This window comes from Homo sapiens, chromosome 11 (genome assembly GCF_000001405.40).
Source record: "Homo sapiens chromosome 11, GRCh38.p14 Primary Assembly".
Classification (NCBI taxonomy): domain Eukaryota; kingdom Metazoa; phylum Chordata; class Mammalia; order Primates; family Hominidae; genus Homo; species Homo sapiens.
In genome coordinates, this window is record NC_000011.10 from 94,473,611 (window position 1) to 94,493,903 (window position 20,293).

The 20,293-nt window shown below is 37.1% G+C and overlaps 1 protein-coding gene across 37 annotated transcripts in view; it reads right to left on the bottom strand.

The window, feature by feature from the left end:
- Nucleotides 1-20,293, bottom strand: part of MRE11 (MRE11 double strand break repair nuclease) — a 96,843-nt gene that overhangs the window by 58,041 nt on the left and 18,509 nt on the right. For 11 of the 37 annotated variants that reach the window (XR_007062483.1, XR_947828.3, NM_001440477.1 and 8 more), the window contains exons 1-7: nt 20,074-20,234; nt 19,172-19,296; nt 17,223-17,355; nt 12,314-12,474; nt 6,064-6,151; nt 5,125-5,266; nt 2,679-2,793 (exon numbers count right to left, since the gene is read on the bottom strand). Coding sequence is in view for 32 of the 37 variants with exons in the window: in NM_001440477.1 (NP_001427406.1) it covers nt 2,679-2,793; nt 5,125-5,266; nt 6,064-6,151; nt 12,314-12,474; nt 17,223-17,355; nt 19,172-19,191 (659 nt within the window). In the remaining 5 variants the exon portion in view is untranslated. Of the gene's footprint in view, nt 1-2,678; nt 2,794-5,124; nt 5,267-6,063; nt 6,152-12,313; nt 12,475-17,222; nt 17,356-19,031; nt 19,297-20,073; nt 20,235-20,293 lie in introns of those variants that run through there. The other 26 variants (XR_007062484.1, XR_007062482.1, NM_001440478.1 and 23 more) reach the window with 13 other exon arrangements.

Consider the following 20,293-nt stretch of genomic DNA (forward strand, 5'->3'; position numbering starts at 1 on the left):
CAAATGAATCTAACAGCATTACCAAAGAACCACATAACCACAGTGAAGGGGGTGGGGAGAAAATGAGCTAAGTAAGTTTGAAAAATTAGGTTTCAACTAGATACAGAAAGGCTAAAGACTAAAATAACTTACACAAACATTGTAACCTAGTTGGGAAAGTTGTTTTGCACAGGGGTATGAGTTAGCAATTTTGAAATTACTTTATAATTTCAAATTATACCAGGATTGGAAATATAATTAAACCAAGATTGAAAAAATAAGTAAACATATATATTTATAATATGATCCAGGCTTCTGTTAGACAAAGAAGTCACAAGTAAGGAAAGGGAGAAGACAAAAATGGACCTTGTAGGGCTGGATTAGAATCAGTCTGAACTTATCATTGGTTTTTTAAGCACATATATAGACATGTATGTATGCATGGGTTACTATATACACATATATCTATTCCCATAACTCTGTTCATTCAGAGTGCTGAGCAAGCCCTGGTAGCAGTAAGCACACCTAGTACGCATTTGTGGATTTCTGAATACCACTCTCCAATAAAAAGAATCAGAGCACCTTGGAGAAATGGTTGATTCCAGGGCTAGGTAGGAAAATATCAGGTTGGTGCAAAAGTAATTGTGATTTTTGCCATTACAAGAGCCAAGAGCCTAGACCATCTTGAGGTGCCAAAAAGCTAACTAAGGTCATGACCTCAAAACAGATGGGAAGACATTGAAAGGACACAGAGGCCAACATAAAAGAGAATGCAATGGTCAAAGCTGCAACAATCAGAGGAACAGTAGCAACCAAAAAACTGATAGTACTGGATCTTCAAGTCCATAATGACATAAATAAGTAAGTAAATAGAGAAGAAGGGACAAATTTTCCTTACAGAAGAATTCCATTAATAAATATAGAAAGAATGAAGGAAATCAAAACTTACAATTAAAATACCACAGTATTAATTACTGGAAATAAGATCACCCATGGATGCTAAAATTAGCGAGTAAAAGTTTAAGGTGAAACAGGATATTTGCATAGTCTCAAAGTATTTTCCCAAAAATATTTATTAATTGAAAAGTAGAAAATGGGAACTTTACAGCAGAGAAAGCTGTTACACATTCCCTTAATCAAATGATGAGGGGGGCAATGAGAAAAATCAACATCATATGGTGACTACCCATTCCCCTTACCAATGCTGCTATTCTACCTTTCATTTGGCTTAAATTCTTAGAATTACTTATGAGTTTTCCTTTCAACTCATCATCCCTACTTTGGCATAGTACAAAAAAATGGTAGACCTGGGAAGCTCTATGGAAGAGAAGGAACAAATCCCAGTGGTGCAAAGTTATATGAAGACCACACACATATCTAAACTCTGGCCTGCCCCTCCTTTGAAACTCACAGTTTATTCAAGAACTCACACATAAGGTAACACAAGTCAGCCTCTTAAACCCTTTCTTTTACCGAGTATTTAACCTAAGTCTGCATTCACTGAATGCACAGAGTAGTCTGCATTCAATAAATGTGTTCAATAAATATAGCTGGCCCTCTGTATTGGCAGATTCGTGGATTCAACCAACTAAAGATCGAAATATTCAGGAAAAAAACAATAAAAAATAACAACGAAAAATATAAATTTTTAAAGCAATACAGTATAACAACTATTTAAACAGTATTTACATTGTATCAGGTATTACAAGTAATCTAGAGATGATTTAAAGTACATAGGAGGATATATGTAGGTTATATGCAAATGCTATACCATTTTATTCAAGGGATTTCAGCATCCCAGGATTTTAGGTCCTGGACCGAACACCCCCCGTGGATACCAAGGGACAACTGTAATAAATTATATAATCAGGCCCCAAATCCTTTGAGTTCTTCCCTGACAACTTCTCCGGTGTGTCCCTCCCATTTCTGTTTCATTGCCATCACTGTCACCACCTCACATTTTTACTGCAGTGATCAGATAATAAATCTTGCTTCTTCAAGTCTGTCTTCTTTTCAATCAATCCTATACCCTGCCAACAGATTAAATTTCTTAAAACTACTAACAAAAGAAAGGTAATCTAGCTATATTTGTATATCCTGGAAGAACACTTGCATATATGTAGCAGGAAACATGTCTAAGAATGTTCATAACAGCAAGGTTTATAAAAGCAAAAAACTCCTGTTCACTGACAGGAGGCAAAGCATAACTGTACACATCAGTAAAAATAAATTACACATCCAAGCATCAAAATGGATCTCAGTAATGTAATGCTGAACATAAGTTGGCTGTAAATATAGCATAATATGAGTATACATGTGATTAAACAGCAAAGAAAAGCAATGAAATAATTAATTCAAAATTAATAATGCTTCCCTTTGGGATAGGGGGAAGCAGGTGGGATCAGGGAAAAGGAATGGGATAAAGGAATGGATAATCCAACAAAAAGATTCTACCTTTTTGTTGAATTGAGGAGTATTCATGTGTATGCCTTATCCTTATGTTACAAATATTCTTGTAGGTATTAATATATACTAAAAACAATTTCAAAATGAAATCACACAAAGCAAATCTATGTTTTGTCTGATCTTGCATTGACAACCTTGAAAGATTAAGGGCATTTCACTAAAATAGGTAAGCTCAGAAACAGATTTGGGAAGCCTCAGCACTTGGCTCAAACTTTTTCAGAGAAAAGTTTTACCTGTTCTGATGAATCACAAATAAGTTAAACCAAGAGTTCTCATCTTCCTTTGGTCTCAACATTGTTACTTTTTTATTGACAAACATTCGATAGAGCCTTTCATCTGGAATGGATCCTGAAATGGACATTACATTATTTTTAAATTGTTTTCTTACTTCGGCTTAAAAAATGAATCTATTTTGCTTCTAAATTATGTCCTTCTCAAAGTATTTCACTTTACTGTTGGGAGATATATTTGAATTCTGGAATAATTTATAAGTGGGTATGTTGCAGGTTCTTTTTTTATCTTTTTTTTTTAACTGAGACAGGGTCTTGCTATGTTGTCCAGGCTGGTCTCAAACTCCTGGGCTCAAGCAATCCTCTCGCCTCAGCCTCCCAAAGTGCTGGGATTACAAGCATAAGCCACCATGCCTAGCTGTTTCAGGGTTTTTTTTCTTTTCTTTTCTTTTCTAAACACAGTCTTGCTCCATTGCCCAGGCTGGAGTGCAGTGGTGTGATCTCAGCTCACTGCAACCTTCACCTCCTGGGTTCAAGGGATTCTTGTGCCTCAGCCTCCTGAGTTGCTGGGATTACAGCATGCACCACCACGTCTGGCTAATTTTTGCACTTTTAGTAGAGATGGGGTTTTGCCACGTTGGACAGGCTGGTCTTGAACTCCGGACCTCAAGTGATCTACCTGCCTTGGCCTCCCAAAGTGCTGAAATTACAGGCGTGTGCCAGCACGCCTGGCCTGTTCCAGGTTCTTGATAACAGTAGTTAGTTGCATTTGAAAAACATTTTCCATTTCAGACATATACATGTTCAAAACCAGCAAAATGTAGAATAAAAATGTGAGTTTTCTATGGTAAAATTCTTATTAAAACTTCTAGTAATACTATTTTTCACCATCCCTTTGTTATAAATTATATATACTTTTGATCTAATATATACATTATAACATGTGCAGAAATAAATATTAAAAGGGATGATAAAAGTGTATTTAAAAACAATATTCTTACATTGTTTTAATATATTGTGCTTTTTAAATAACTCAATGACTTTCAAACAATTCTCATACTCCACAGGTTCACCTTGATCTAGTGAAAGAAACTAACAAAAACAAGTCAACAAAATAGTTACAAATATTAAATATTATAAAAGGAGAAAAAGCCAGGATGCTAAGATGGCGAATTAACACTATGGAATTAAAAGGGTGGACAACACTGCTACTTTATATACGGATTAGAGAGGGTCTCAGAAGAAAAGCCAACAATGTAGAAGTCTAGAAGTTAGAAGTGGCCTAGCTCCCAAGGAGAATGCTACAGGAGTGGCCAATGGAATACATGGCTGAGGTGGAATGTAGAACATGTAACTGGAGACAAAAAAGTCAAGGCACACAAAGCCCAAGGCATTAGAAGATTAATCTACTTGAGTGTTGAAACACTAAAAACACTGGCAAAATTGAAGGTAGGTAAGTAGGTAAAAAGTCTGAGAGAAAAAGCAATGCGGTTTAGCCAGATGGCAGAAGCTTAAAGGGAACAGTGTGTTTGCAGGCAGAAAAGGAAGCAGTGGGTGGAGCAAGGAGAACAGTGATCCCCGCTTCTTTCCAAAAGCCCAGGGGTAAGAGAACTGCATGGGACACAGGAACCTCAGGGGACAGCTGGGCTTCACTGAAGGTTAGAAAGTGGAGGTAACATTCAGAGAAGAGACTGATAATAATGAGGAATCTGATAATTATAAAAAGAGTTCTAGAGTTTATAATGAAGAGCTGGGGGACAGGGAGGGGTGCAGGGTGGAGACAGAGTCCAGTTAAGGAAGGTATAATAGAACAGGATAAGATAAGAGTTTGGGAGAAAATGGATGACTGGAGAGATGTGCTTCTGGTGGTGACTGAGGCATAATGGAATCTGTCCTTAGTCTGAATGGAGGAGGAAAGGCAATTTTCTGGAGATATGATCCCTAATAACACTGCAGTGATTAAAACAACTGTTAATAGCTTTTTTAAGAAAAGTATATTTCACTTCCTGCTCTTTCACTTGCAGAATCAGATATAACATCCAGATTTCATTTTCCTTATCTCTAAAATATAAATAACCATGATGCTTTTCTACTTGCCAGAGGTATTATGAAAGCTGCACAAAATTATAAGCTAGCGGTATTGTACAGTGAAGCATTAGACCTTTCAAAGACTTCCAAGATATCAAAGTGCAGTTTTGCTAATTATTCTATAATTCTAACATTCAGGATTCTACACCTGAGTCTAAAAAAAACCCAAAATAATAAATAGTAACGAAAAGACATTTTTTCACCAAAAATTTTTACCAAAACCATCCATCATTTTTTATAGTCACCAATAAAGAATAAGGTTTGCCCCATTTTTTCCAAACAGATACAAACTTATCTCCAAATTTCTCAATTGTTTAAAGAATCACACATGGACATAAACAGTAAAATAAAACTGTCTTACCTAAACCATATAGCGCAATCTTTGTGCTTCCTTTTTGAAGCAAAACCGGACTAATGTCTATCTTCTCCACAGACATTGAACGTCCAAAGTGATTTACAAATCCAGCACAACTTAAAATGTCCAAGGCACAAAGTGCATCTGCCTATGCAAAATAATTTCAAAGAATGTTAGTGTGTATGTAAAAGTAGGTATCTGCATGAATATCGTATCACCTGTTAAAAGCATACTCCATATTCTACTTACAAAAACATAGATGAGGATAGTGTCTTCTCAAAACAAAATTACAATAGTAAAAGTATTTGCTACATTTTTGTACTACAAATCACCTACAGCAACTGGAATCACATGCCAAAGGCAAGGTTAATATCTCATCAAAACTTATGATGTCTTGGCCACAAAAAAATAAAAATTAGCCATGAGATAAATGCTTTGTAATATTAAGCAACCGTCTTAAAGCCTGGGGAAAAAAGACCATAGATAATCAGTGATTCATAATATTAATGACCAGATAAAATGAAAAAATACTTGTAGGATCTCTAGTCTTACTTCCATATCAAACAGGTAATAAGATAATCTAATTTAGATTTAAAGATGGTCTTGAACAATCATTTCCTAAAAGTGAGATTTTATAAGATAGTTATAAAAACACTGACAAACTGTAAACCACTATACAGATGTTAGGTGTTCACTCCTACTCCTGGCTTCTTATTGTTAACATCAGTATTAATGAAATAAAAGCATAGCTCATACACCAATTCTTATTTCAGATTTTTAAAAAATCTAAAAAGCAGTATAAAAGCTTGTATGAATGTGAAAAGTCAACTTGACTTTTGACTCAATTTGACTACACAATGAGAAAAAGGGAAGGCATGCTTTCCACAGACAAACTAAACTGATCATTTCCAAAATTCCAACAAACTCTAAGAAAACAATAATTACCCCTGTGGGATCGTCATGATTGCCATGAATACTAAACACTGGAATTGAAATGTTGAGGTTGCCATCTTGATAGTTCACCCATGGAAACCTTAAAAAAAAAAAGTTACTTAAAATTTCCATACGGGACAAAAGCTGTTTTCCCTAAGATTCTCCTCCAAAATATTAATGCAATCATAGGCAAACTGCATAATCTACATTGGCATATGACCACTAGTTTAGAGCTTTAAAAAATAAAATCATAGGCGACAATTCATTTCAATTAGTTTGAAAATATCTCAAAGCACTACATTTTAAAGAAACCCCAACTATAATAAACAGTGCTTGTGGTATGTATGAGTAGTATATCTAATTAATGAAAAGTTAATAAGCCTTCAAAATTTTAAAAACTTAGCATATGGTTTTTATTCGTAGTGGGGGGAGGGAAGAAAATCCATATACTTTAGAATCCCAAAGAGGTAGATTAAAACTCCCAGCTCTATCACTTATTGCCTGTTCAAATTAAAGTCTCCTGTCAGCCCCTGCCCCCAGCCATCCAGCTCCTCTTCTCAGAGGCAAATAATGTTAGCAATTTCTAGTGCATCTTTCAAAAGGATCCTATACCTATCCACACAAATAAACAGATTTTTCTTTCTCCTTACATAAATGATAGAAAAATATACATTTCTGCATCCTGCTTTTATCACTCAACATATTTTAGAAATCATTCCACATCAGTACATGAAGACCTTTCTTCTGCTCTGTCAGCCACACAGTACTCCATTGCATGGATCACCACAATGTGTTTGAGCAGTTCCCTACCAATGGACATTTAGATTCTTGGCAGTCTTGTTTTACAAACAATGCTACAGTCAGTAATCTTGTACAAAGTAATCTTCTACAGCGAGTAATCTTGTTGCCCTGGTGAGTCGACCTGTAAAGGAATACCTGGAAGGGAATTGTTAGGTCAAAGAGTACATGTATTTGTAATTTTGATAGGTGCTGCCAATTTCCCACCATAGAGATTTACACATAATGCAATGGCAGTGCACAAGAGGGACAGTTTTCCCCTACCTCACTAACACAGTAGGTCATCCAGCTCTTAAATCTATGCTAGCAGTTCTTAATGCTAGCAGCATGTTGGAATTATCTTGGGGATCTTTCAAGAAATGCCAATGCCCATGACATACTTGGAGAGACTCTAAGTTAGTTGGCCTGGAGAGGGGGCCATCCATATTTTCAAAGGTTCTTAGGTAACTGTACTGTGCACTCAGGATTGAGAGTCACAGACCTATGCCAACCTTATAGGAGAAAAATATTTCAGTATAGCTCTGTCTTTTTCTTATGAGTGAAATCAAACTTTTAAAAATAGGTTTAGGCCGGATGCGGTGGCTCACATCTGTAATCCCAGCACTTTGGGAGGCCGAGGTGGGCAGATCACCTGAGGTCAGGAGTTCGAGATGAGCCTGGCCAACATGGTGAAACCCTGTCTCTACTAAAAACACAAAAATTAGCCGTGCATGGTGGCACATGCCTGTAGTCCCAGCTACTTGGGAGACTGAGGCAGGACAAGTGCTTGAATCTGGGAGGCAGAGGTTGCAGTAAGCCGAGATCGCGCCACTGCTCTCCAACCTGGGCGACAAAGCAAGACTCTGTCTCGAAAAAAAAAAATAAAAGTTAAATGTCATGTTATTTCCTTTTCTGTGAAGTATGTCCATATTCTTTATTTATTACTAACTCATGAATTTTATTGTCTTGAAAGAACTGCTTATTGGGGAATTCAACCTTAATTTGCAATTGGTTGCAAATATTCTTCCTGATTGAACTGTGACTTCTGGCTTTGCTTCAGGCAGTTTTTGGCATGCAGAAATTTATTTTTGCAAAGACAAATGTATGAATCTTTTATGACTTCTGGGTCTTGTGTCATACTTAGAAGCCTTCCCCACACCTAGATTTTTAAAATATGTGTAACAGTTTCTCCTAGCAGTTTTACTGAATCCATTATTTCCCCTACATTGTGAGATGGTGACCTTCATCAAATACTCAATTCCTACATGTATTTGAGGCTATTTCTAGAGTTTCTATTCTCTTTCACTTACCTATCTACTAATTCATGAGCCATACCACATTTTCAATTATTGTAGCATTGTTATACTTCAAATCTAATTGGCTACTAACTCCTTAGTAGTCTTCTTTTTTGGGATTTCCCTATCTTTGCCTATTTTCTACATGAACTGTGAACTGGAAGATTAAATTATCCAAAATGAAACACAAAGAGGTAAAGTTATGGGCAATATTTTTTTTAATAGTATGCTATATAAATGATATTCAGAAAGAGAAAGGAAACAATATTTGAAAACATAATGAATAGAATGGGAATTTCCCCAAGTTGCTGAAAAACAATATTACATTAGAATATATGATAAAGCCCACGCGGAACAAACAGAATTAAATCCACAGCTAAATAAGACTGCAACATGTTAAGAACAATGAGAAAATCTTAAGTTACCCAAGTATTGTCTTTATGCTGGTCACTACTCTAGCCATTTTTCTTATCATCTCAATCTTCTCAACTCTGTAAGATTGGCACATTTCTTTCCCATGTTATGAAGGACAGAACTAAGGTAGAGTAGTTAAGTGACTAACATAATTTTACAACTACTAAATGACAGAACCAGGATTTGAACTCCAGCTGTTTTATACCGGAACCCATGCTCTTAATCACTATGCTAAACTTTCTAGCAACTCACCTAACAGTAGACTCCTCAACAGCAACAAAAAATAAGAGTTTACCACTCACTGACACTCCATGAAAAAACTACTGAAAACTGTGCTTCAGAAAGAAGGAAACTGAATCTACACAAAAGAAATGAAATACAAGGAACAACAGTGAGCAAAGAAATAGGTAAACATGTATATAGGGTGGGGAAACAGTTTTCAAAACAGAATGCAATTTAAAAATAAGATGAAAGAAAGAAAATACTGAAGTTAAAAAATGTCCCGGCTGGGTGTGGTGGCTCACGCCTATAATCTCAACACTTTCGGAGGCCAAGTCGGGAGGATCACTTGAGGTCAGGAGTTCAAGACCAGCCTCACCAACCTGGTGAAACCCCGTCTCTACTAAAAACGCATAAAAAAATTAGCTGGGCATGGTGGTGCACACTTGTAGTCCCAGCTACTCAGGAGGCTGAGGCAGAAGAACTGCTTGAACCTGGGAGGTGGAGGTTGCAGTGAGCCAAGATCGTGCCTCTGCACTCCAGCTTGGGTGACAGTAAGACTCCTTCTCAAAAATAAAAAATAAAAAATAAAAAATGTCCCAAGTTTTAGATTTGAATAGAAGGAGGGTAAAGACATTGATCACAATTTTGAAAAACAAGGACAAAGTATTATACAAATCTTTTAAAACTCAATTATATATGCAGCCAAACTATCAATCAAGGGGAAAGTGAACATAAACATTTTCATGTGGACAAAATCTCAAAAAAAAATTTACCTCCCAATATAAAGTCACACTTTAAAAACTAAATAAGAAATAAATATGGGCTGGGCATGGTGGCTCACAAGTGTAATCACAGCACTTTGAGAAGCTAAGGCAGGAGGATTGCTTGGGCCCAGGACCAGCTGGGCAACACAGTGAGACCCCATCTCTACCAAAAATAATTTCTTAAAAATTAGCTGGGTGTGGTGGCTGATATGCTTTGACTCTGTGTCCCCACCCAAATTTCATCTTGTAGCTCCCATAATTCCCACGTGTTATGGGAGGGGCCTCGTGGGAGATAATTGAATCATGGGGGCAGGCCTTTCCTGTGCTGTTCTGGTGATAGTGAATAAGTCTAAAGAGATCTGATGGTTTTAAAAATGGGAGTTTCCCAGCACAACCTCTCTCTTTGCCTGCCATCATCCATGTAAGACGTGACTTGCTCCTCTTGCCTTCAGCCACGATTGTGAAGCCGCCCCAGCCAGGTGGAACTGAAAGTCCATTAAACCTCTTTCTTTTGTGAACTGCCCAGTCTTGGCGGGTATGTCTTTATCAGCAGCATGAAAACGGACTAATACAGTGGCACATGCATATAGTCCCAGCTACTTGGGAGGCTGAGGCAGGAAGATGGCTTGAACCCAGGAGGTTGAGGCTGCAGTGAGCTATGATCATGCCACTGCACTACAGCATAGGAAAGAGAGCCAGACCCTGTCTCAAAAGCAAAAATTAAATAAATAAATAAATAAATAAATAAACATGAGTATGTCTATTCTCATGGGTTAGTATGTACACATATTTTTCTTAGCTCTGTCCAGTGAGAGCCTAGAAGCAACAATACAATAGTAATGTGCACATGTAACATCCAGATCTTGGTTTCCAAATACCATTCTCCAAAAGGAACCAGGGTTCCTTGAAGAAATGGCTGAGTCTGAAGACAAGAAAGACAAAGTAAAAAATCAGAAGAAAAGGTGGGATATATCAAAAGGATACAGGAGCCAATCTCAAAAGGAGCCCAATGGCTAAAGCTGGAACAATTTAAGCCACAAGTAAATTATGATAGTAATAAATTATAACCCAAAGGAAAAAAAAATGGGTTTCTACTGATATAGACAATTGAATAAACAAATGTGGGACAAGGGACAAATCTTCCTTACAAAAGAATCCCAATTAATACATGTAGAAAGAATATAGGAAATGGAAAATCACAATTAGAATATCACAGTTATAACTGTTGTAGGTAAGATCCACTGATGAATCTAAAATTAATGAACAAATTTAAGGAGGAACAGAAAAGTCGCACAGCCTCAAAATATCTACCCTAAAATATTTATTAATTACTTTGGTGGTTTTAACTTATGTCCATCAGAAGTGGAAACTTAACTCCCTGCCCTTTGAGAGTAAGCTGGACTCAGAGACTCAATTCTAACCAACAGCATATGGAAAGGAAAAAATAATGACTTTACACTGGAGAAACCTGGCAGAGACCAGCTTAACCAAGTGATCAAGGTTAAAATCACCAGTGATAAATCAGGTTGATGTCACGCACCTCCTGATATGATGCGACTGAAAGGGTACTTCACTTCTTGAATATTCTCCCCCAAAACCTGTAATCCCAATCTAATCATAGAAAGCAGGAGAAAATACCAAATTGAGGGACGTTCTACAAAATACCTGACCTCTTTATAAGTATCAGGGTCATGAAAGACAAGGAAAGACAGAAAACCTGACATGGGCTGAAGAAATTAAGGAAACGTTTCTACTAAATGCAATGTGAGATCCTGTACAATGTTTAAGACATGATGGGCCAGAAGCGGTAGCTTGCGTCTATAATCCCAGCACTTTGGGAGGCCAAGGCAGGTGGATTACCTGAGGTCTGGAGTTCAAGACCAGCCTGGCCAACATGGCAAAACCCTGTCTCTACTAAAAATACAAAAAATTTGCCGGGCGTGGTGATGGGCGCCTGTAATCCCAGCTACTCACCTGTAATCCCAACTACTCGCCTGTAATCCCAGCTACTCAGGAGGCTAAGGCAGGGAGAATTGCTTGAACCCAGGAGGCAGAGGTTGCAGTGAGCCAAGCTCATGCCACTGTACTCCAGCCTGGGCAACAGAGCAAGACTCCATCAAAAAAAAAAAGAAAAAACACATGATGATATTTTTATAATATAGGGATTGACAAATATCATAAATAGTCCCAAAGGCACAAATGGAAAAAAAGAAAAACCAATAGATTTAACTACATAAAAATTAAATATTTCTGTCAACAAGAGTCCATAAACAAAGTCAAAAGACAAGCCATTGATTGGGAAAAAATATATGTATCACAAAGGTTTACTAATTAGAATATATAAGTAACTTCTGCAATTCAGGTAGAAAAACAAACAAAAAAATCTCAATTTTTAAAATAGGCAGAGGATACGAACAGGAGAGGATACCAAAATGTACAATATAAACCTGAGAAGATATTCAGTCCCACCATGTATTTTTTTTTTTTTTTTGAGATGGAGTCTTGCTCTATCACCTAGGCTGGAGTGCAATGGCACAATTTTGGCTCACTGCAACCTCTGCTTCTGGGGCTCAAGTAATCCTCCCACCTCAGCTTCCCGAGTAGCTGGGTCAGTTCCACTATTAATTAGGAAAATATAAATTAATACAATGATGTACAAAAAAATTCAAAGAATGATATTTACTAAGAAAATAGCTTATATGGAAGGCAAAACAGTTGTGTGTTTACGTGTCTTATACAGCAAATACCATACACAAGTAATCACTCACTCAAGTAAATAAATATACTTACTTACTAAAACCAAAGTTGACTGACTGATCACTGAGAATTTCAAACTGGACAGGCCGATCACCCATACAATATTTTCTTAATAACTCGAGGCAGGTATGTAATGTTTTCCTTGAGGGCTTATTTTCATGAAAAAGATCACCACCTAACAAAATAAAATCCACCTGATCAACAGAAAAAGGTGTTAAAATTAGTATGTTTTACAGGTAAAATTTTTGTAAACTACAGATGAAAGAGATAAAAAAAAACTCACAAAAGACACTATTATATATGGCAACTTAAAAATTTACATTTTATTTATTCAAAGGGACTTTCAATCTGGTAATTAATCTGGTTCTAATTTAGCTGACTAAGCTATCTTCAAAAAAGCCATCTTCCAATTACACCAAGTCTCTGATTCAGGCCACACAAGGTGATCATATTTTTTCTATTATTTGAATCAAACATAAACTTAGCACTTTAACAGAACGTATGGGAAGAGATACCAAATTCAATCCAAATCATTCATTTAATTCATTCAGCATTTATTTACAGAATTCCTACAGGTTCTAGAAGCTCAAAAAATAGCAATCTACAAAATAGATTATATCCCTGCCCTCATTAAATACTGACTCTATGCAAGACCCTCTACTGAGTCCTGAGGATACAATGATGAATAAAATATGATCCCTATCCTAAATATGTTCAAACTCTAATGGAAGAGGCAAACTGTTATACATTTAAACATAAGTCAAACTCTGGGGTGCACTAGAATGGACACGTAAGCAACCAGCAGCAGAGATGACACTACGATGAATTTGAACTCAAGGGAGGACAATTCGCCTGAGGACAGAAAGTCTAGAAGGAATGAACTAACATGGTGGCATGTTAGTTGCACTAGGAAAGATAAATGATTGTGAGGAAGAGAATTCTAGGAATAACTTCAGTGAAGGAGGGAAATCATACAGAAAAAGTCTAACACAGGCTTTCAAGACGTATACGATGCACCTAAAGAAACTTAAGTTCTTAATCACACAAAAGAATACAAGGTATAGATCACTGTGCGTATGGTAGTTAGGATAACTTTAATAAAAATGTGAGGTTTAAGCTAGGCCTTCCAGAATGAACACTATTTGAGTAAAAGGAAGAAAATGATCTCAATCAAAGGCATGGAAGAAACAAAACAAAAACAACAAACCAAATGAAAAACATACTGGGGCGAAAAGAAGTTGTTGCTTAATGGGTGTCATTTTTGCAAGATGAGAGTAATTCTGGAGATTGGTTGCACAGCAATATGAACATATTTAACACTACTGTACTATACACTTAAAAATGGTTAACAAGGGAAATTTTATGTTATGTATTTAATATATTTTGCCATCATTCAAACATTTAAAAAAATTTTTTAAACTGGCTGGCAGTGACTCCAGGAAATATTGAAAAGAACACGACTCACTTCTGTGGTATTCTTGCCGAAAGTGCAGAATCTGAACCTAATCATGAGGAAATACCACTTATAGCCAATTTGAGGAAGATTCTATAAAATAACTGGCCTGTGTACTCTTCAAAATATTAGGGTCATGAAAAACAAAGGCAAGGCAGATGCAGGAAAATGTACCAGATTAAAGGAGACAAAGAGACATGGCAACTAAATGCAATATGTAAACCTGGACTGGATCCTGGACACCACCAACCAGCCTCCAAAGTGCTGTAACAGACATTACAGGGACAATTGGCAACATCTTAACATTATATAATAGCACTGAATCAATACTAATTTTCTGGTTTTCTATGATTATACATGCGGTTTACTCTCAAATGGTTCAGGAAAAAAATCGTGTGTATTTGTAAAGAGAAGATAAAGCAAATGTGACAAAATGTTAGAAAACCTGGGTGACGGGTAAGGAATTCTATGCGCTATTCTTGCCAACTTTTCTGTGAGACTGATGTTGTTTCAAAATAAAAAGTTTTTTTAAAAAAAGACTCCAAGAAACTAGGGAACAGAACTAAGACTGGTTAGTGGGCATGGGCCCACATAATAAGGGACTTAAAAGTCAGGAAGACTTTAGATTCAATAATAAGAAATACTAAATACAAATCAAGAGAATGAGTAAATATAATACACATCTAGAAGTCCCTACCTGGGGTTATGGGGGGTGGAACAGTTACAATTAAGGGACGCAGGGAAGAGAAACAGTAGAAGCAGAAGTGAAGGAAAGGGCAAAGTAGAATTAAGTAGCTTACACTCAGGAGAAGATTCTGTTTTAGGGCTCAAGAGTTAAAAAAGAAAGAGCACATACAGGATTCTCTGGCAGGAAACAGACCTCCTTTGGCCACAAGTTTTTTTGCCTTCAAGGAAGGAAAAATGCACCTTACATTCTATTATTGAAAAGTCAAAAAAGAACAGATGCTGGTGAAATTACGGAGAAAAGGGAACACTTATACACTGTTGATGGGGGTGTAAACTGGTTCAACCATTGTGGAAAGCAGTGTGACGATTCTTCAAAGAGCTAAAAATGGAACTACCATTTGACCCAGCAATTCCATTACTTGGTATATACCCAAAGGAATATAAATCATTCTACCACAAAGACACAGCACACATATGTTCACTGCAGTACTATTCACAATAGCAAAGACATGGAATCAACCTAAATGCCCATCAATGGTAGACTGGATAAAGAAAATGTGGTACATATAAACCATGGAATACTATGCAGCTATTAAAAAGAACCAGATAATGTCCTTTGCAGGGACACGGATGGAGCTGGAGGCCATCATCCTTAGCAAACTAATGGAGGAACAGAAAAATCAAATACTTGTAAGTGGGAGCTAAATGATGAGAAGACATGGACACAAAGAGGGGAACAACAGACACTGGGACCTACCAGAGAGCAGATGATAGGAGGAGGGAGAGGATCAGGAAAAATAATGAATGGGTACTAGGATTAATACCTGGGTGCCAAAATAATCTGTACAACAATCCCTGTCATATGAGTTTACCTATGTAACAAACCTGCACATGTACCCCTGAACCTAAAATAAAAGAAAGAATCCAGCCATTGCCTCACTTAATTAAGAAATTTAAAATATGTATACCCACTGCTTTCTGATTCTTTCTAAGCACTAAGATACAGCATGAACAAACAAAAGATTTCCACTCTCATGGAGTTTTCCTTCTAGTGAAGACAACAGACAATAAACAAGTAAATAATTCAATAAATTATTTCAGATAGTGCTATTAAAAATATGCTATGAAAAAAAGCAGAGTAATGTGATAAAACAGTGCTTGGAAGTATCAGGGAAGACGTCTCCAAAAAGGTAAGACTTGAACTCTCAGAAGTCGGCCCCACCAAGATCAATGTGCTCCAAGCAGAAAGAACTAGATGTGCAAGGGCCTCAGAGTAGAACATGCCGGTGTGGATGTAGCACTGTAAATCAGGCAGAGAGTAGTAGGAGATGAAGTTTCATGGCAGGGGTCAAGATCAAGTCGAACCTTGTAGTTTGAATTTTATACTAGATTCAATGGAAGGACACTTGGAAAATTTTAGGCAACAGAGTGCCATGATCTGATTTATTATTTTAAAAGTTCACTTTGGCTGCTATGCTGAGTAGATGTAGCAGAAAAGAATAGAAGCAGAAAGATGGAAGGGGACCTCCTGCAGGCCATGTGAAATGTGATCGTTTTGGACTAAGTTTATTAGTGTGAAAAGAGTAGTAGAGAGGAACCATATATATTTGGGAGGAAGAACTAAGGACCTAGCAGATAAACTTAAGAGAACTCTCCAGAAAAGTCAAGGCTGGCGGTGTTAATTTGCAAGTCAATTTTTACATTTATTCTCCAACTCTCTCCTGGGCTGGCGTGTTAACTGCCTGCTGAAATTTTTCCCTGAATGTCCCATTGCAGTCTCCAACTCTAAGTTTGTCGAAATCAAACAAAGAATTTGTCACCTTCCCACATGAAGCAGTACCTCTTCCTTATCTACCTATTTCTATTTTTGGTACAACTATTCACCCAAACTCCACACACTTCAGAGTCACTGTCATCCCTTTGCCCTCATCCCCACCCCGCTACAACTAACCAAAGTACACAAATCCTCTTTTTGCAGTATCCCTTGCATTCATTTCCTCTTTTCCATCCCTAAGGTCAATACTTCAAAAAAAGCCTCTAACTGGTCTCCAATTCATGGTATTATACTCCGCTGCCAAAAGACTTTCTCTTGAACTGGATACAAATTTCTCAATCTGATATTTGAAGTCCTCATTAATGCAGCTCAAATCCTTCCTTCTAGTCTCTCAGCATGCTTGCTAACTATGACCTGCTGGTGAGCCAAATTGACTACAGGGCCCCTAACATACCTTATACTGTCTCACGGGTTTCCTCACTCCTGCTTCACATGGATGTACATTCTCTATGCTCCCCACTGGCCAAAAGTCTACCCTTCCTCCAAAGCCCAAGTTAAACACAACCTTCTTCATTAAACTCATCTTGCTATAATCTAAACGTGATTTTTTCTGCCTCTAAACTCAAAGGAAATGTTATTTAGAATTTTCTTAGGGCTCCTATCACATACAACCTTGCATCTGTGGATTGTGGATATTTGTCTTTCACACCAGTTTTCTTCTACGTTATCTGAAAGCAGAAGCTTTGACAGTCACCTTACATTTCGAATAGACACTGCCACAGGATCCTGCATTCAGTAAACACCCCAAAAACATTTGTAAATTTTAACAGACTATTTACAAAAGTAGCTCCTACTTGAATTTAAGACACAAAGCATACAAAATCAGCTTTGAGCTTTCAGTATATTGATATTCAAGCAGGCAAGGTAAGCACCTGAGCTTATAAAACAAATCTCTAACTTTAGAAGGAAAAATAACTTGTTAACCAAGGGAATATGGTAGATAGTGCACAAATACAAACCACACTCACTTCATTTTCCTGGGCAAGTCTTAAAATTTCATCGAGTGTTACAAACGTATCATTTCCTCTGACTGCATCTTTCTCCATAAATCCAAGATGAATATCTGTTGCAACTAATATTTTAAATGTGTTTTCATCATCACTATATTAAGAAAGAAGAAACATTTCAATATATTAATAATTCATTAAAGGATATTCAAACAAATTGAGACAAACTTATAAAATAAATAATAACAGTTATAGAGTAAAATCATTTTTTTTAGCCTTAGAGTTCATCTGAAAATCTGAAGTATTCAACGTTATCATTAACATTACAGTTTTCCTAACCACTAGTTCAATACAGAACAAATGTACATAAATCTTTACAAGGTTCTATAACTGCTTCAAAAATTTATAACCTTGTTATAACCAGTTTTACAAACTCATGTAACCCAGGCCCAAAAGTTTGCTTGTTTTCCTCAGATAAATAAACTTGTTATTTATCTGACTTCGTACTCTTCCAGGAAAATCGAAGTTAATTTAAAAAGCCTTCCTCTAAGTTTATGAGTCAATTTTATACTAATATGCAATAATTTACATTCAGGGCCTTGAAGACACTTGCATGACTCTACTCTCTACAGAGTTAGATTTCATTAATAAAGTTGGCCAACACAGAATTGTTTCAATTTGAATTTGGTAATATTCAAAGGTACTTTAATGTGAAGTAGCAATGTAATAGTTATTAATACTCTTACACTAAATTTAATTGTATGAAATACTTTTATTTTTATGATCTCATCTCAACCCTCACAGATAAAGAGTCAGGCATTATTATCTCTGACAAATGAGAAGGCTAAACCCAGAGAAATTAACTGCTTTATCACATAACTAGTGACAGAAACAGGACTAAAACCCATGATGAAAACTCAGGCTATTTTCAATAAACCACAATGAATTTTTAAAAAATCTCTGTATATATCTCCAAAATTCAAATCTTTACAAACAAAAGATATTTCCACAAACGATTTCTCTTCAAAAACTTCAAAAATGATATGCACACAGTTCTCACTGATATATCCAAGAAGGTAGGTCAGATACTTTTCAAATCATAATACTACATGTTTCTGTAGCAATTTATGAAGTATTTTCTCATGAATTCTCTCATTTAAGCCTCAAAATTAATCTGAAAAAGGTATAATTATTCCAATTATACCAATGGCAAAATTGAGGCAAGGCTCAGAGAACTGCTGACTTGCCCAAGGTCACACAGCTAGTAGGGTCCAAGGACTTGAAACTAGGGTAAAAGACTCCAAGTCTAAAGTCTTTCCCACATAACTTTTTTTTTTTACGATCTCGGCTCACTGCAACCTCCGCCTCTCGGGTTCAAATGATACTCCTGCCTCAGCCTCCTGAGTAGCTGGGATTACAGGCATGCGCCACCACGCCTGGCTAATTTTGTATTTTTAGTAGAGACGGGGTTTCACCATGTTGGTCAGGCTGGTCTCCAAATCCTGACCTCAGATGATCCCGCTAGCCTCGGCCTCCCAAAGTGCACATAACTTTTACAGTCCTTTTATTTATTCCCATTCCATTCAAATTCATTTCCAGCTTATTTAATACTAGAGGAATTTACTCTAAAAATCTTAAACAGAACTGCATTGACTAATAAGAATTTGTCAGGAAAATTCAAGAATATTTATCACTTCAATAATTTAAGATGAAGCCTAAGAACATAAACAATACTATATCAATATATCAAATTACTGCAAGACTCCAATCTATAGCTGCATATTAGCTTCCAGTTAACAAACAGATAAATATTTAAAACATTCCAAATACCCTTTTTGATGACTAATATTTCTGTTCATAAACAGGTTCCTTATTTACTGCTTATTAAATAAGTTTTCTTTTACTGTGATCACAGTTGACGAGCTTTAGAAACCCCAAATAACAAGGGATTCCAGAAGTCAGGTGCTTACAGTGCATCTGCAGTACTCATTTTTATGGTCAGTCAAGCTCCTCTGGGACCAGGTTCTTCTCCAAGAACCCCTGGGTACTGTACTCAAATGTCAGAAAATGCACTCGATTCCAAATTCTAGAAATTCTAAAAACAAAATTACATCATAAAACACATTTTTTAAAAGCCTGCACGTATTTAACCAACATGATTTACGCTGCACAAGGTACAGACGTCTTAATTAGACTGGCAAATTTAGAAGTCTCATTTTCATCTAAGCACCCACTATACTTTTTTTTAATGAACTGAGCATAGAAAATAATATATCTCCAGTGTACATCCTGTTTCCTAGTTTCACCAAGATGATTAAACTCCTATTTTCCTTTCCCGTGCTCTTATGGGAAATTAATGTATGCTAAATAAATGGGCAGAAAGGGTCACATACGGTTCTGGTTCAACACACAAACAACTCTAGATGTGCAGATATTTTTAAGTTGCACGCATAGGTTACTCTGGAGAACAGAGGCAATCCTGTATTTCCTATTCAAACCCCACGATTTTTTTTAAAGGACCTGGCTAGTTTGGAAAAGGGAACGGGCCCGCGTTTAAAGCGAGTGTAAATAAACAAACACGTGGTCTGCGGAGGAACACCTTTAAGCACCAGCAGGATGACTGAAAATAGCCAGGTTTGGGGAAGAGTGGCTGCCACCGCGAGACAACCCCCACCACATCTGGAGCTCCAGATTCCGTCGGGATTCCAAGCCTCAACACGCCCTCACCGCAGGGAACCTCGGAATCAGAACGCTGAGCCCGCCAGGACCCCTCCCCTGCCCACTCGGCCCGCTCTTCCCGAGGTTCCAGTTAACTCTGGGCTTCCGCCTGGGAACCTGCAGAAACAGGAGACGAATGCGATTCCTAAATTACCCCACTGCTGGACTCTTCGAAGCCCCACAATCGCGACCCAAGGCTGTCTTCTTTTCGGGAAGAAAGGGCAGGATCCGTGAAAAGAAAACAACACGGTCTGAACTTGCCTCTGAGAACCCGCAGGGCCGTAAACCTGAATTCCGCGGGAGAGAACGGCGTCCGTTTCTCTCGCGACACTTCATGGATAACGTAGATGCTTCAAGTCCAGTTCGGCTCTCAT